At 40.7% G+C, this 17,079-nt stretch overlaps 1 protein-coding gene across 1 annotated transcript in view, besides 1 other annotated feature; it reads left to right on the forward strand.

Moving 5' to 3' along the window:
• Positions 1-17,079, forward strand: part of TTLL5 (tubulin tyrosine ligase like 5) — a 293,834-nt gene that overhangs the window by 30,039 nt on the left and 246,716 nt on the right. The window contains exons 7-9 of the mRNA NM_015072.5: positions 7,904-7,986; positions 15,734-15,803; positions 16,339-16,423. Coding sequence (NP_055887.3) covers positions 7,904-7,986; positions 15,734-15,803; positions 16,339-16,423 — 238 coding nt within the window. The remainder of the gene's footprint in view (positions 1-7,903; positions 7,987-15,733; positions 15,804-16,338; positions 16,424-17,079) is intronic.
• Positions 6,448-6,648: a silencer, noted in NCBI's record as "peak2202 fragment used in MPRA reporter construct". NCBI's record gives its function as "represses an SCP1 promoter by STARR-seq MPRAs in K562 erythroleukemia cells {active_cell/tissue: K562}" and the evidence as "EXISTENCE:reporter gene assay evidence [ECO:0000049][PMID:32103011]".

Below are 17,079 nucleotides of genomic sequence, written 5' to 3' on the forward strand. Positions count from 1 at the left end.
GGCGCTGGGCTGGTTTCAGGCTTTCCTCCACAGGGGCAGAGCCTGACTCAGTAGGCTTAATGCACAGAAGAGACATGAGTACAGATGAGATGTGAGGCAGGTCTCTTGTGAAAGTCCAAATTACGGTGGTAATAGCTAACATTTACTGAATGTTTACTTTCTAGTAGGCACCTCTACTCTGGTAGTATTTTAGATGAGGCGACTAAGGTACAGTTTGGTTAAGAAACTTTCCATGAGTTATGCAGCTTGCAAATGGTAGAGTTAGGGTTCAAACTGGCAGTTTGGCTTCAGAGGCCATGCTCTTCGTCTCTGTGCTTCATTGCTAATGGCACTGGGCAGCGTGCATGCAATGACCATTCCCCAGTAGCATCGGTGTGAGAGAAGTCACTTCTCCCATGAGGAACATCAGGTGAGACACACAGAGAGGACAGTTTTCCTCCCAAGAAGTCCAAGAAAGATACTATTTCTGTTTTATGGATAGACGAAGTAGCATGGGGAGAAGAGAGAGTTATCTCTAGACTTCCTGACTTTTGATTCTTTTAACATGTTAGGCTTGCCAGTCTCTCTGGGTCACCTAGTGGGTTGTTCATCTTTTGGCAGAGGAGACCAGCAGTTCATCAGGAATGCCTGCTTCACCATTTATCTAATAGCGTTTGTTGCTCTATCTGGGGCCATTGGTTGGCAATTCATTGTTTGCCCACAGATGGCTCTGCAGTGGGTCACATAGAGCACTAATTAAATGAATCAACTTCAGAACTTCAGTGCACTCAAAGCTGCAAATTTGTAGTCAAGAAATTTTTTGCTATGTGACTTTAGCCAAGTTACTCCAACTTCTGTGTGCCTTAATGTCCGCATCTATAAAATGGGAGTATTGCTGGTGCTGACCTTATAAAGTTGTCAAGATATTTAAGTAGGTTAGTATGTGGAAATCACTTGGGATAGTGCCTGATAGGGGTGGCTTGATAAATGTTTAATACTATTTCCTATTTCAGGCTATGTTTGTATTAGTAATAGTTATGTTTAACTACTCACTATATTAATACTACTATGTTTTTACTATGTTTTACTATTTTATTTTTGTATGTTTTGTTTAACTACTAACTAAAGTTGTAGTTATGTTATTAATAACTACTATTAATTAGTATTAGTTAAACAATACTAATTAATATTATTATGTTCTGGCCCTCCAGTGCTTAATTGAGTGTGGGCAATAGGAAATTTTTTTGGAAGGAAAGGGACACCATAAACAGACTGGCCTTTAGAAAAATAACTATGTGAAATGAGTCGGTGGAAGCAGAGAGAAGAAACTGGTGGTCTCTTTGAAGGTTACTGCAGTGAAGTGGATAAAATGGATAGGTATGAGTAGAAAGGGTGCAAGAACAAACATTACTGCCTGTGTATGGGGAGCGAGGCAGGGGTCAAAGAGGAATCCTAAGGTTTGAGTCTGAGTAGCTAGGAAGACCATTGGGTTTTTAACCAGGGAATGTAACCAGGAAGGCAAAGGAGGAGCTGTTAAAGGGGTAGAGGAATGTTACATTTTGGACAGGGTATGGATTTGGATGTCGATGGGGCATCCAGGTAGTGTGTTTTGCAGGTGGCAGTTGTAAGAGCAGGTTTGAGTTCTGGCCAGAGATGTAGATTCTGGAAGCTGCAGTATGGAGATGGGTGTGATTACTAAGGGAGAGAAAAAAAGCAGCAGCACCGCAGAGAATCAGAGAGGAAAGGGAGATTGAAGAGGAACAAGGGAATGAGGTCTCAGAGGAGGCAGGAGAGGGTTAAATCAAGAACCCCAGTAGAAGGGTGAGCATTTGAAAGAGAAGTGGGCATGTGTCTCCTGAAAGAGGAGAAGGAAGAAGGCTAAGTTGATGACCCAGATAACATTTTAGATGGAGAGGAAAGCAGGTAAATAGGTTTATGTTACAAATTCCTAGCCTTCTTAGTGAACAGGTTGATGAGGTCTTATGCCAGGAGTGAAGGGGCCTAGGGATGGGTGGGTGTCTAAAAAGGCAGAAAGGGATTGGAATAGCCTCTGCAGGGCCTTTGAAAGAGAACTGATAAGGATTGGACATGAGGATTGCCTAAAAACACTAGAGACACCAGCCAAGGTGATCTCATGAAGGTATAGCTTTTTGTTCTAATAAGAGACAACCTGTAAAGATATAGCCTAGAGACTAATCACTGTCTCCAGAGATGTGAAAGCCTAGGTACTCCCCAAACTGTTCTCAGTAATTTGAGTGTAGTGGTTGGAATACATGGCACACTGGTCTATCTAGGCTCCTGCCATCACTGCCAGTTACAGTATTTAGTAGAATAGAATTAGAGGTCTGTGACCCTGAAGACCGTGACTAAGGATCTGTTGCCAACTCCAGCCATTCCCCTCAAGGGGACAGCTTTCTAAGCAGAAGGAAGAAAGAAGCAACAAAGAAGAAGATGGGGTGGTACCAGTATCAGAAAAGCAAAACTTTCCCCAGAATTGGGCTCTATGGCCATCTCTAGTTGTAAGGGAGATTGAGAAGTGATTCTAACATGTGAATTTTCATGTCCGCCAACTAATTACAGATGACTAGATTTCAAAGCAATGGGTAAATTTGTAGAATTACGATTTTAGAATTATAAGAGATCTTAGTAAATCAGGCTAAATTTTACAAATCTCATTTTAAAGATAAGACTAGGTGATTTAAGCAAATTACCTCTAGAGTCATATACTTGAAAAGCCAGAATTACAACTCAGATCTTTCTACTCCAGGTTCATTGCTGTTTCTGTTAGACCAAGCCTGCTGCCACTGTAGGAACTGGAAAGCACTTGAAAGAACTGGGGAGCCTGTTTTAGTACATCTTCATCCTGAAGCAGAGAGTCCTGAGCAAGACTGCCCGGCCTTTGCCTCTGATTTTTCTTGCTTCCTACCCACACATTTAGAACCTGTAAAAGAGAACAATCCTTGTTCTGAAAATATCACAAATCAAGGAGAAAAGCCTAGCATGAAAGACAGTCTTTGATATTTAGAATTTCAAGAACATTCAGGATTTTAATCATAGTGAAGCACCAGAAGAAGCATTAACTTCTTTTTTTTTGAGACAGTCTTACTCTATCGCCCAGGCTGGAGTGCAATGGTGTGATCTCGGCTCACTGCAACCTCTGCCTCCTGGGTTCAAGCAATTCTTCTGCCTCAACCTCCTGAGTAGCTGGGATTACAGATGTGCACCATGCCTAGCTAATTTTTGTGTTTTTAGTAGAGATGGGGTTTCACCATGTTGGCCAGGCTAGTCTCGAACTCCTGACCTCAGGTGATCCGCCCACCTCGGCCTCCCAAATTGCTGGGATTACAGGCATAAGCCACTGCGCCCAGCCAGATGTTGTGGGAAGTCAGGGACCCTGAGCGGAGGGACTGGCTGAAGCCATGGCAGAGTAACATAAATTGTGAAGATTTCATGGATGTTTATTAGTTCCCCAAATTAATACTTTTATAATTTCTTACGCCTATCTTTACTGCAGTCTCTGAACATAAATTGTGAAGATTTTATGGACATTTATCACTTCCCTAATCAATACTCTTGTGATTTCCTATGTCTGTCTTTACTTTAATCTCTTAATCCCGTCATCTTCATAAGCTGAGGACGTATGTCGCCTCAGGACCCTGTGATAATTGCGTTAACTGCACAAATTGTTCGTAAAGCATGTGTTTAAACAATATGAAATCTGGGCACCTTGAAAAAAGAACAGGATAACAGTGATGTTCATGGAACAAGGGAGATAACCATTAGGTCTGACTGCCTGAGAGCTGGGTGGAACAGAGCCATATTTCTCTTCTTACAAAAGCGAATAGGAGAAATATTGCTGAATTCTTTTTCTCAGCAAGGAACAGCCCTGAGAAAGAGAATGCATTCCTAGGGGAAGGTCCCTAAAATGGCCACTCTAGGAATGTCTGTCTTAGACGGTTGAAGATAAGGGATAAAATAAGCCCTGGTCTCCCGTCGCGCTCCCAGGCCTATTAGGATGAGGAAATTCCTGCCTAGTAAATTTTAGTCAGACTGGTTGTCTGCTCTCAACCCTGTCTCCTGATAAGATGTTATCAATGACAATGCGTGCCCAGTGGGACATGAAACTTCATTAGCAATTTTAGTTTTGCCTGGTCCTGTGATCTCACTCTGCCCCCATTTGCCTTGTGATATTTTATTGCCTTGGGAAGCATGTGATCTCTGTGACCCACACCCTATTCGTACACTCCCTCCCCTTTAAAAATCACTAATAAAAACTTGCTGGTTTTGCGGCTCAGGGGGCATCATGGAACCTGCCAACATGTGATGTCTCCCCTGGACACCAGCTTTAAAATTTCTCTCTTTTGTACTCTTTCCCTTTATTTCTCAGACCGGCCAACACTTAGGGAAATAGAAAAGAACCTATGTTGAAATATTGGGGGTGGTTCCCCCGATAGCCAGAAGCATTAACTTCTGATAAGCCTAGTTCACAAAGTAGAGGGTACTGTCTCCAGATGGCTTTGACCCCTTCCCTTCCCTGCCCTCCCCTCCCCTCCCCTCCCCGACTTCCCTCTCCCACTTCCCTCCCCTACCTTCCTCCCGCTACCTTTCCCCCTTCCCTCCCCTCTCCTTCCTTCCCTTCCCCTCCCCTCCCCTCCCTCCCCAGGGTCTTGTTCTCTCACCCAGGCTGTGGTAATCATAGCTCCCCATAACCTCGAATTCCTAGGCTCATGTAATCTGCCCACCTCAGCCTTAGAAGCAGCTAGGACTACAGCCACACACCACCATGCCTGGCTAATTTTTTTATTTTCCATAGAGACAGTCTCAGTAGGTTGGCCAGCCTGGTCTTGAACTCCTGGCCTCAAGGGATCCTCCTGCCCCAGTCTCCCAAAGCGCTGGGATTACAGGTGTGAGTGAGCCTATTAATAACTAGCCTGGTCGTTTCCTTAGACATTTCTGTAGAACCTTGTACTTCCTTTTTATAACTCTCATTGCCTGTAATTACTTGTTCAATGTCTGTTTTTTCGGCTAGTCTAATCTTCATGATGGAAAAGACTGTATTTTTTAATACTGTGCGCCCCACACCTAGCAAACTGATGGACACAGATTAGATACTTAGAGGTATTAAATGAGTGACATTTGGAAAGTTTTGTTATTTTTTGTTTTGTTTTGATATTAATAGCCTCTTGCTCAGGCATTCTGTTCAGTCTGCTCAGTATCTGGGGAAAATGGCAAAGTGAAAAAAATATATAAACTGAATACACATACATATATTCAGTGGCCTCACTTTATGGAAATTTAATTTTTTGTCATATATAACTATAAATATGTCTTCTATAGCAGGACTTATAAATTATATTTTTTGAAAGGTAATATATTCCCATGGTACAAAAGAAATTCCAAAACAGTCATCAGTGAAAAGACTCTTTTCTCCTCTTGTTCCTCAGTCATCCCATTTTCCTCCCCAGAGATGATCAGTGTTACTAGTTTTTTACATACCCTCTAGAGATATTCTTTGCATTTACTAGCAAATAACGTGTGTATATGAACAGATGGGCGTATATAACATACATTGCCCTGCACTTTGTTTTTTTCATTTAACAGGCTATCTTCAAGATCATTCCATATCAGTTCATTAATAATATTCTTGTTTTGTGTGTCTGCTTAATATTCCATTGTGTAGATTAGATGTCTGCAAACTATATCCCTTGAGTGAAATTGGTCTTCTGCCAGTTTTTGTGTGTCCCACAAGCTAAGAACCATTTTTAAATGGTTGGAAAGAAATCAAAAGAAGAATAAAATTTTGTGGCATGTAGAAATCATATGAAATTCAGTGTTCATACATAAAATTTTATGTAAACAGCCACACCCCTTTGCTTACATATTGTTTATGGCTACTTTCAAGCTACAATTGCAGAGTTAGGTACTGCCACAGAAACTGCATGGCCTGCAAAGCCTAAAATATTTATTCTCTGGCTTTTTACAAAAATAGTTTGCCGACCCTTCATACAGATGCATTGTAGTGTATTTAATTAATATTTTGCTGTTATAACACAGCATTGAAAATCTTATATATGCAATATTTTACACATGTGTGAGTAGAACTAGAGGATATAGTTCTAGAGGTAGAATTGCTCACAGAGTTTTAAATTCTGTGCGGCACATTAAATTTTTTCTAATTCTGTTAATTCTGCATCAAGGGAAAAGGCAGAGGAAGATGGGGGAGAGTGGACAAAAGATCTCTTTCTTTCCTCCTGCTGAAATGGTTTGTGGCATTGACAAAGTCAAGTTTGTGTGGGAGGCTTTGAAGAGACTGGCTCATGTCAGAGGGAGAGGAAAGAAAAGGAGACAAGTAGTTGCTGGCAAGTCATCTGGGAAAAGGAGCTGAGCCTAGAGAGCTCCTTCTGAAGACCTGCCTGGTATAGGCCCAAATGCAGGGTGGAGGGAAGTGTGCAAAACTTCAGGACTCCAGTATCTGAAAGTCTTGTTCTGATACTGGAGCCCTAGAAAAGGACTTGCCTCTTAATAGGTCCAACCAGAAGAACAGAAACTATAGGGAACTTTCTTAGGTTTATGCTGTTGTATTCTAGATAAACTGGGACTGATATCTTGGCGCACAGCAACCTAGGCAATTTGGAAAAAGGAAGTCTTTGTGAGATCTGCTCAGAAACATTTGCATTTGCTTGATTTATTTCCCCACACTATTCCTTCCCTTTCTCTCTTCCTTCATTGAAGAAAAATACCAAAAACAAAAAATTCTCTCAATTTTTACCTTTCATCCCATCTCTGCTTTGAAACAGTACTGACTGCTGCCACCTGACGTATTTCATCAAAAGTGGAAGAGGCACAGCTGGGACCAGTGCTCTCTCTCCAGTCTGGGATGTGAGAATCAGCAGCACTGAGAGCTCTAGCCTGCTTCTCTCCCCTGACTTCTGACACTCCCTAAGTGGAAGACAGAGCTGCTTTTCCTCAGACCACTTGCAAGCCTCTGGGAGGCTTAGTGTCAGTTGTCTGCTTTCTCTTTTCACGATCCAAAGGGATATAAAGTGTAAAGCTGAACCTGGGAAAGGAACAGGACAAATGGCACCTTTTAATCACTTGTAAATGATTGTCCTTCCTCTCCACTGGCACATTGCTTGATTTACAGTGAATTTTTTTTTATAAGCTCGAAATATTTAAGGAAAGTAGCTGTATTATAAGAACTAGATTTTGGCTTACATTGACACTGTTTGCCTAAGGTCCTTTAGTTAACAGATGTAAGCATTTCAAAGATTCATGATGATTCTTTGTGACAGTAATAGACTAACATCCAGATATTTGCCTTATTTTGTTTTCATCTTTTCATTCAAGAAAGAGGGGAGGCCGGGCATGGTGGCTTATACCTGTAATTCCGGCGCTTTGGGAGGCTGAGGTGGGAGGATTGCTTGAGGCCAGGAGTTGAAGACTAGCCTGGGCAACATAGAGAAACCCTGTCTCTACAAAAAGTTAAAAACAATTAGCTGGGCATGGTGGCCCATGCCTGTAGTCCCATCAACTCAGAAGGCTGAGGTGGGAGGACTGTTTGAGCCCCAGAGGTTGAGGGTGCAATAAGCTATGGAAGCACCACTGCACTCCAGCCTGGTCAACAGAGCAAAGACCCTGCCTTAAAAAAAAAAAAAAGAAAAGGAAAGAGGCGAAATGGTGGAAGAAATTACTATGGGAGTGATTTTGCTGTCCTCTTTTCTCCTCCCTCCTTCCCTCGCTCTATTTTTATTTTTAAGGCAAGTCCAAAAATACAGGTAATTTTAGTTACTGCCCAACACTTAGAAATTTGTAAGATTTTTGGGTTCCCTGAGTAGATAACCCTTTTTGAAAGTTGATATAATAAACTCAAGTTCATTCTTTTTCTTTGTTTCCTCTGTTTTTTATCTCCCAATATTTTGAGCAGATTCATATTCGAAGGACCGGGGACCTTGGATAGTAAAACCAGTGGCATCTTCAAGGGGGCGGGGCGTCTACCTGATCAACAATGTAAGTATGCAGCAGATGGCAAACCTCTCTCCTCACTTGTTCTTTCCTCCTTCACCCTTTGTATTGGTTACTAATATAGTTCCATTTCATTAAGAGCAGGTGTGCTCTTCTTAAATCTGCATTCAGAAGTGAGTTAAGCGTAGGTATAACTTGACTTGTTTGCCTTACTGGCAGGAATCTTCTGCACCAGCAGTTACTCCATGGCTAAAAAGACACTTGATCAGATTTTAGGGGAGGGCAACCTGTTGTGTCAGCAGAAAAGAGGTACCTTTTCTGCTTTTAGCATATTGTGATGTTAATTCCTACACACCAAGTATTAATTGATAGCGTATGTGTTTAGCATCTGTTGTGAGCAGAACTGTGGGTTCTGTTCTCAAGGTTATCAAACAAGTGAACCTTAATTTGGTATGGTATCCTCGCTACTGCTGCTGCTTCTCCTTTCTCCTCCTTCCTTCCTCTTTCCTTTCCTCTTTCTGCCCTTCTTCGTCTCATTTCTCCTCTTTTTTCAAAAGCCAGCAATATCTTGATTCTTTGCAAAATTCTCATTAAAAGTTGTCTTAAATTGAATACATACACATGGTAAATAAAATCCCTACTGGTCTCACTCCCTGGACTTACAATAGTAGTTAGTAACTTTTGTTGATTTATATTTCTTTCATTGACATTACATTGTATTTGTTAATTCCCAGTTTGGCATTTATTGCATTTACATCATGTCCCACCCTCCCTTGCACATTTGTTTGATTAGTTTTTATGTTTATGTTTTAAACAATAATAGAATCTCTTCAGTAACTATGATTCAGTTTCTTTATTTTATCTATAAGTTGAGTAAAACATTTAAACTCAGTGGAAACCAACTCTTGGACTTCTAAAGGGGGAAATATTAGGATAGGTAGCTGGGCAGACATGAGCCGGGCATGAGAGGGCCCCCGCTACCACCAAGGAGTGTCAGGTGATCATCAGGTGATGGTCAGGCAGTTGTTAAACTGGTCTCTCTAAAATAATAATTGGTAGCAGCAGATGCCAGGGAAAGGCAGGCACCTGAAGCTGGTGATCAGCCATTTCCCAGTAAGATCTCAGGAGTTGGGCGAGTAGGCTCAAGCATGTGCCCTAAGAAGCAAAATGATGGAGTTTAACTGGTATATGACCTTCCTCTAGGAACACTCGACTGGTAAGGCAAAAACACTTCAAATGAGCACGTGCACAGCTGCAGCCAACACACTGTGTATGAGGCCCCTCTCAAGTGCTGGCAGGCCACTGCACATGCAGACAGCTTACCCCATGGAAAAATCAAGGGAGGAGAGATGCAAAACCCCGGAAGCATGCCAACATATAAAACCCCAAGTCTAAGGTGAAACAGGCACTTGGGTCTCTCAAGTTGTCGGCTTGGCCCTCTTCCACGTGTACTTTACTTCCTTTCATTTCTGCTCTAAAACTTTTCAATAAATGTTCACTCCTGCTCTAAAACTTGCCTTGGTCTCTCACTCTGCCTTATGCCCTCAGACAAATTCTTTCCTGCAAGGAGGCAATAAGTGAGTTGCTGCAGACCCACCCATATGGATTTGCTGCTGCCGCTGACAGACTTTGGGATTCTGAAATTTAACCAGGATTTAGGCCTGGACCAGTTTTTTATTCTTCCTCCTGGATATTTGGCAGGCATTTTCAGTCTGGAAACTGGTGTTTTTCTTTAAGGAAAGTTATCTTCTTATTTGTCTCCGCTTTTAGAACTCTTTTTTGAGGCATTCTAGATCTTTCCTTCATGTTAACTTTTCTCGCATTTTTAATTCTTTTCCCATCTTCTAGATCACAGGTTGAGGTTTATCCATTTATTATTCATTTATCTACTGTATTTTTATATTGGGTATCATAGGTTGATTTCCAGAAACTCATATTCTGATTTGCTTTATTTTTATTTACAAATAACAACCTTTTGTTGCATAATGGATGCAGTTTGCCTGCCTTTCCTTCTGAGGATACCAATGGAAATTTTTGTAAAGTTCTCTTCTGTCCTTTAATTTTATTGGGATTGTCTTTTCCCCTGCTATTGGATTTTCTCAGCTTTGATGATCCTTACATGTTGGACCATATTTATGAACAAAAGACTAGACTGAATGAAACTGGCCGCTGGTCTGGGTTTCTACTGTGGTTGTGTAGGACTCTTTTCCTAATATCTTCTCCCTGGAAGAGGCTGACTGTGAATTTTGTGTAAGGGCAAAACATGTTGACTCTCAGGCTTTACTTTAGGTGGACATGGTGAGAAGCACTCCCCTTCCACCTTGCCAAAATAAAGTGGGCCATATTGTGAATGCAGAGGAGGATTTTGGTGATCTCCCTCTTGGGCAGAGCTACCTTTCTTTTCCTTTTTGTGTGTACTGGTGATAAGGTAGCCTCAAGTTCTACTCTTCTCTATCAGATTTCTGCACCCACACGTCTCCTGGCCTCACTGTTCCAAATGCTGTTTGTTAATTATCTGATTCTAATTCCTTGGCTGATCCCTGAGCTTCATGTTTGTTGAGTACAAGCTTGGAAATTTGCAGGAGCCTCCTTGGGAAGGTCACTCTTATCTCTTTTGGACTTTTCTGGCTTCTTTTACTTTTTCCTAGCTTTGATATCATTTCATTCTTTTGAAAATATTCTTTCTGTCCTTCCACTGGAACTCTGGAAGGGCAGGGGTAGGTAGATGTGTTGTATGTGGGACCAGAACCCTATCTTAAATTCCCCACTTGTCTTTTCACATTGAGCTGTTTGCCATATGTGTAGAAACTAACTTTCTGAGGGATCTTTCACATTGGAAAGTCCTTAAATTCAGTCTGGACTCAAAACAGTACCGTAAACAATGATGGCCAGACCCTTCATGCCAAAGAAATATAGGATCTGGTTTTGATAGAGCAACTGCTACAGCCCCAGGCATTGGCTGCAACTTCTGTTACCTGGCCTAGGCCACTCTGGAGGCCTTTTACCCTGAGTCTCCTGTGACATAAGGCCATGGTCATATGCCTTGGCTCTGTCTCCTCTTGTCTCTGCTCTGACGTTGGTGTTGAAGGCCCCTCTCCAACAGCTTTTCCTTCAGCTCTGTGCCAGGAGCTCCAGTGTTGTTTGAATCTCATAGACGGCACTAGTTTGGGTTTAGGTTTTAGCTGCCAAATGGAATTGCTATTGAAAGTCAGCTATGGTACAAGTTTGCTTTTTATTTTCTTAGATATGAGTCAAAAAGAATAGGATCTATTCCCAGCTCATCTGGGACTTTTTTCTTTTGGAATGCTTTTTTGCCCTAGTGATTTGTTATTTTAAAGCTAGCATCATAAAGGATAGAAAAGTTAAACTTTCCTTGGTGGAGCCGAGAACCCTGCGCCCTAACTCTTCCCTGGATGCCGAATCTCAGTGGGGTGACATGTCTTAGAGAATGTGTTTGGCAGGCTATGTAAGAGTCTTTTTCTCCCTCCCACCTCTCCCTGGGCTGAATCCTTTGAGACCCCCTGCATAGATCAAAGTACTTGGCAGGACCTTTTGCCTTCCCCCTCCCTCTTTGTGAAGCTTTGGAATGAGTCTGATTCTTTTAGGTATTTAGTGGAAGTGCCAGACAGAAGCCTGGGAGGATGCCAGGAGGCATGAGGGGAGCTGGCAACATGCGGACATAATGGGAAAATACTCCTGTTTTACCCCAAAACTGGAATTTTACCACCTTTTACCCAGACCTGCAAACCATGTTGTTAATACTCTTCTCTCTCCTTACACAAAAGGCATAACCATCCCCTCTTTTCCATGCCTGGATCCTTTCCCATGGAATATGTGACCCATTAGCCAACTGGATGAAGTAACTCTTTCCAAGGCTGCTGCCTGCTTTCCTTTTAGATTTAAGCAGGAGGGTGAGGAGAGGGAATGCTGAGGCAGAGGGTCTGGGAGCAGAACTAATGTGAGTGAGTGAGGGATTTAGGCAGTGGGGATGGAGTTGGTGTGAGGGCCAAATGAAAATATCTTCCCCTCTCTTCCCACTGGAGTGAGAGGGCCACTTACTAAAACTTCCCTATAGTAGTCATAACCTTTTGGAAACTCTCTGCAAATAGCAACTTTTACCATTACGAGAACGAGATAAAGGATAGCAAAAGCATCACTTTTATGTAACACTGAAAAGAGAAGTGTGGACCACAGATGGAAACATCTCGGTTGGCTAACGTGGTCTCATAAGGATGTGCTCTTTAGAAATACAGCATAAAGGAACAAAGCTGTGTTTGCTCCACTCCTTCAGTAACCATGACTAAATGCCATATTTTCCCAATTTAGTATATTCAAAGCAAGGAGGGGAAAGAATGGGTGTTTTCTGATTAAGGTATGAATTTGATTATGGAAGTCAAGTTTACTCATTCTTGTCTCACACATGATCCATGGGAAATACAGTATTGATACATTCTCTGAGACTTTCACATGTTAGGAGAGTGTTAGGTCACTCTAGTCCCTCCTATATTCGTGAATATAATTCTGTACTCTCTTGTTTCTGTTTGTTTATGTGTTTTTATCTTAGGTTCCCTTTGTTTTTCTCATTGCTCAACAAGTATTTCAGGAGTGCCTACTGTGTTGTCACTCCTTAAAAGCTTTTGAGAAATTCTCCTAATTATTATGTATCTCCAATTTTCATAATAGTACCACTCAGTACTCTGAGTAGAATGGCATGCAGCAGGTAGTGATGAATGCTGTTGAGCTGTGGGACTTTGTAATTAGAACCACATATATTCTGTTAAGTTTGCAGTAATAATAACTAATGTTTATTGAGCCTACCACTGTCCTTTCTAAACATAATCTCACTTAATCCATATATGAACCCTATGAGGTAGTTATTATTTCCTTAATAAGTGGTAGAGTCAAGGTTGTAACTCAGGTCCAGATGATTCCAGCATAGACACTCTTAACCACTATATCATTCTCCTTTACAATGACTTAACAGATACCATGAGCTTTAACCTTAAGGTCCATTTAGAAAGATACCTTTCCAGCCAGGCGCAGTGGCTCATGCCTGTAATCCCAGCACTTTGGGAGGCTGAGGCGGGCATATCACTTGAGGCCAGGAGTTTGAGACCAGCCTGGGCAACATGGTGAAACCCCATCTCTACTAAAAATACAAAAATTAGCTGGGTATGGTGGTACGTGTCTGTAATCCCAACTACTGGGGAGGCTGAGGCAGGGCAGTTGCTTGAACCTAGGAAGTGGAGGTTGCAGTGAGCTGAAATAACACCATTGGACTCCAGCCTGGGCGAAGAAATGAGATGCTGTCTTAGAAAAGAAAGATGTGTTTCCAACTTTCCCAACAATTCAGATTCCTACTTCAGCATTCTTTGGGAGGCAGTTTGAGCTTTGAATTGGAATAATTTGAAATGAGTTAACTGGGGATTGATGAAAGGAAACAGGCTTGAAGATATCAAAAAGTTTTTCTTAGTTGCTCTTCAGTCTGTAACGCTGTGCAAAGAAACTATATCCAAACCTTTCTTTTCTTCTGGGAGTCTACAGTTTAATTCCCAATGCGGATAGAAGTGAGGGATAAAGACAATAGAACACATAGTAAAGTTACCTAAATATTGTAAGGGTTTATGTTACGTGTAACTCAAAGGATAAATGTGTATGGTGAGCAAGGGAGGAGAGGAAATGGGCATGGGCGTTAGATGTGTCATGGAATGATGACCACTATCAGCATATTCTCTGCTGTGGAGAAAAGTTGGGTGAGTAGATATTTATTGTAGCCTATAGGTTCTACTCAGTAGGAAGAGAGCTGTGATTGTTTGATTTTACGTTTACAACATAGCCTGCAGCTGTATAGTGATTGCATCAATTCTCATTGAGCAGATTCAAAATGGAGATAGTACTTACGAGAAGCTGATCAAGAAATGTAAGGGAGTCAGGAAATGGTATGGATGATGAAGTTCATTAGGGATGAATCAGTAATGATGTCATTGTGTTCCTATGATGCGTAGAGATGGGTTGTGAAAGCTGTGTTCTGACTTTGAGATAGCAGCAGTGGGAACTGAGAGAGGACTCTCATTCTGACTTCAGAGCTGCTCATACTGGTTGTGTATAATGTTATAGGTCACAAAATTATCATATGAAAAACAGTAGTAGTATTGAGGGTAGGAAATGCATTGTTATAAAGACAAACTTTTGAATTTGGGGGACAATTAAATTTGAGAGCAGAATATTGGGAAGAGGTAAGAATAAAGCCTAAAAGCGAAGCCTGTGAGGAAGACTCCCTGGATTCCGTTGCTGCTCTATTGCTTATTAGCTCCGTGACTTTGAGCAGGTCCCTAACCCACTCTGATTCTTTTTTAATCTATAAAATGTGGATGGTGATATACCTGCCTCATGGGGTTGGGTGAGGATTAAATGAAATAATCCTGTGAACAGACTTAGAACAGCACTTGGCACATCCACGTGTTTAGTACATTTGTTAAATTTTGTGTCTGCAAATGTTGATGGTTATTTCTGTTGCCTTTACTGTAGCTATTATCAACCTAATTATTATCACTACCACTTCCCTTTTGGAGCCCTTTTGTCCTACATGGATTGTGGTGACTTCCAGCTTTATCTAATCACATGTGAAGGTTTTTTTTTTTCTCCCAGATATTTTAATCTTGCTGTTTCCTTAATCTAGAATCCACAATAATTTCCTGCTTCCCACCATGCTAAATATAAACTCCCTTTGCCAGGGGTTCAAATCCCTTTGTCAGTAGGGTACCTCCCTCCTCATTGTTTAACCATGTCTTTCATAATTTCCCAGTTCAGTCTTTTAGCCCCAGGTCTGTGAATCGGCCCACCCTCCTTTCTACTGGGCTTGGTGCGTGCCATCTTCCGATGATGGGCTCCTTTCTTCTCCACCATGTGCTTCCCAGCCTTCACTCATTTCTGCATCTACTCTTCTGGGACAAGTCTTCCCTGACTGGTCCCACCTGATTGGTCTGCACTTTAACTTTGTAACCTGGCATCTTGTATTTATAGAAATGCTGCTTTGTGTTCTTTTAAATTCTATATTTTGCTGTTCCTCTACCTAAATATTAAACTTTTCAGGGATAGGGATTTACTGAATCTTAAATCTGCCAGGCAGAGATTATATGTGTTATGTTCATCATGGTATCCCCAGTGCCATATGCAGTGTCCACAGTACTTTTCTATTTATTGTATAAACAACTGTTTTTCATTGAAGAAATCTTTTAAAGACCTTATTCACTCTTTGCATACAGTTGCTTAGCAAATACCCTTAAGTGAATCAATTAAACACCTATCTCATTTTACAGAGAAAATGCTAGGATCCATTGTGGATCTGTAAGTTCTCCAAACATGTTAATGAAAGCCTTCATTTAAGAATAGTAGTAGTATTTTTAAATTTCCATTATACTTCAGGGAGAAAGCAAGTTTTCATTTATTTTTAAAGTGGCTCTTATTTTCTTGGCAGGTAACTATTTAATATCATGTATATACATCTTTAAGGCTATTAGGCTTATTTATTTATTTATTTATTTATTTATTATTTATTATGTGAGAGGTACTGTGTAAATTTATTTTTCCTGCATCGTAATTGGATGCCTATAGTGTTATAGAAGTGATATTATATGGCCAACTGAATATATGGGTACCTTGGAGGAAACTTTAACCAGAATTTTAGTTTTCCACCTTACCATTTCTTTAAAGGTTAAGAACTTTGCTCCCTTATTGTAAATTAGGATTCCTGTGTATTTCTATTCTTTCATTCTTTCTCTTTACTCAATAGCCAAACCAGATCTCCCTGGAAGAGAACATTTTGGTCTCCCGTTACATTAACAACCCCCTGCTCATAGATGGTGAGTTGTGATTAGGCCCTTGACCAAATTGGGCCAGATTTTTGCTCAACTTTTTAAGCTTTTCATAGCCTTCTCTAGTAAGTCTTTATTATACTGTTGTGAAATTCTTGACATGTGTGGCTCCAGAAAGGCAGCAGGTTCCTTACCTATCTCACGGGATTTATCTGAAGGTGAAATGAGACAATATAAGAGAAAGTGCTTTATAGGTTATATAGTAGTATATGTATGAAAATTGTGCAGTAATTAATATATATGAAAATGACACACATATGCATTATATATACATTACAGTTATATTAATGTATATATACATTATACGGTTTTTATTATGTACTATATACATAATATGTATACGGTACAATTATATAGTATAATTATTAGTTATCCTCCGAAGTCAAGGTGTGTGAGCAGTGTGTGTTTCATGTGGAGTGTAGGAATGTTCTTTCTTTCATGTTTCTTGGTTTCGTTGTTTATTCTGTAACAGGAAACAAATGAACTTAGTTTTTTTTTGTGAATACAAACTTTTTTTTTTTAGATTTCAAGTTTGACGTGCGCCTCTATGTGCTCGTGACTTCCTATGATCCTCTTGTCATCTATCTCTATGAAGAAGGATTGGCTAGGTAAGAAGCTGTTTGGGGGTGAAGGGGTTGGGTGGGTATATTAAGGGTGGGTATATTAAGAGTGGATCCATTAACAAGTTTATTAAATCAGATCATGCTATTTTTACTTGTCATTACTGCTTACAGATGCAATCCACCTCCTCAACTGCTGTGCTCTATAACATCAAAGCCAGTATGCCTAAAAAGAACTTCAGAAATTAGGCTTATTTGTCTGTAGTCTCACTGCATGTCCACACATAAGGTGTGTAAACATCTTCCCCAGCACTGATCCAGGATCATATGGTATTTTCCTGCAGTGACAATTGTTATGAAGCTCCTAGGATATTAAGATAATTTGCTGTTATTCTTCAGGATAGATGTAGAAAGAAAAATAAAATCCTACCTGTATTTGCCTATTATATGCCAGGCATTTATTTTCATCCTCGCAACAACCTTTTAGTTGATGCATTTTTGCAGTTGAGGAAACAGATTTAGAGGTGGGAGAAGTGGAATGGGGATTTGACCTCATGGATCTGACTCCAGAGCTCAGGGCTCAGACAATTTCATGCCCTCTCATATTTGGAAGGTATTAATTGAGGGTTTTTTTTTTTTTCCTTAACATGCAAGTTACTTTACAGTGGTTGTACATACATTGTTCTCTTTTTGTTAAGGTGCTT

The sequence above is a fragment of the Homo sapiens genome, chromosome 14 (genome assembly GCF_000001405.40).
Source record: "Homo sapiens chromosome 14, GRCh38.p14 Primary Assembly".
In the NCBI taxonomy this organism is placed as follows: domain Eukaryota; kingdom Metazoa; phylum Chordata; class Mammalia; order Primates; family Hominidae; genus Homo; species Homo sapiens.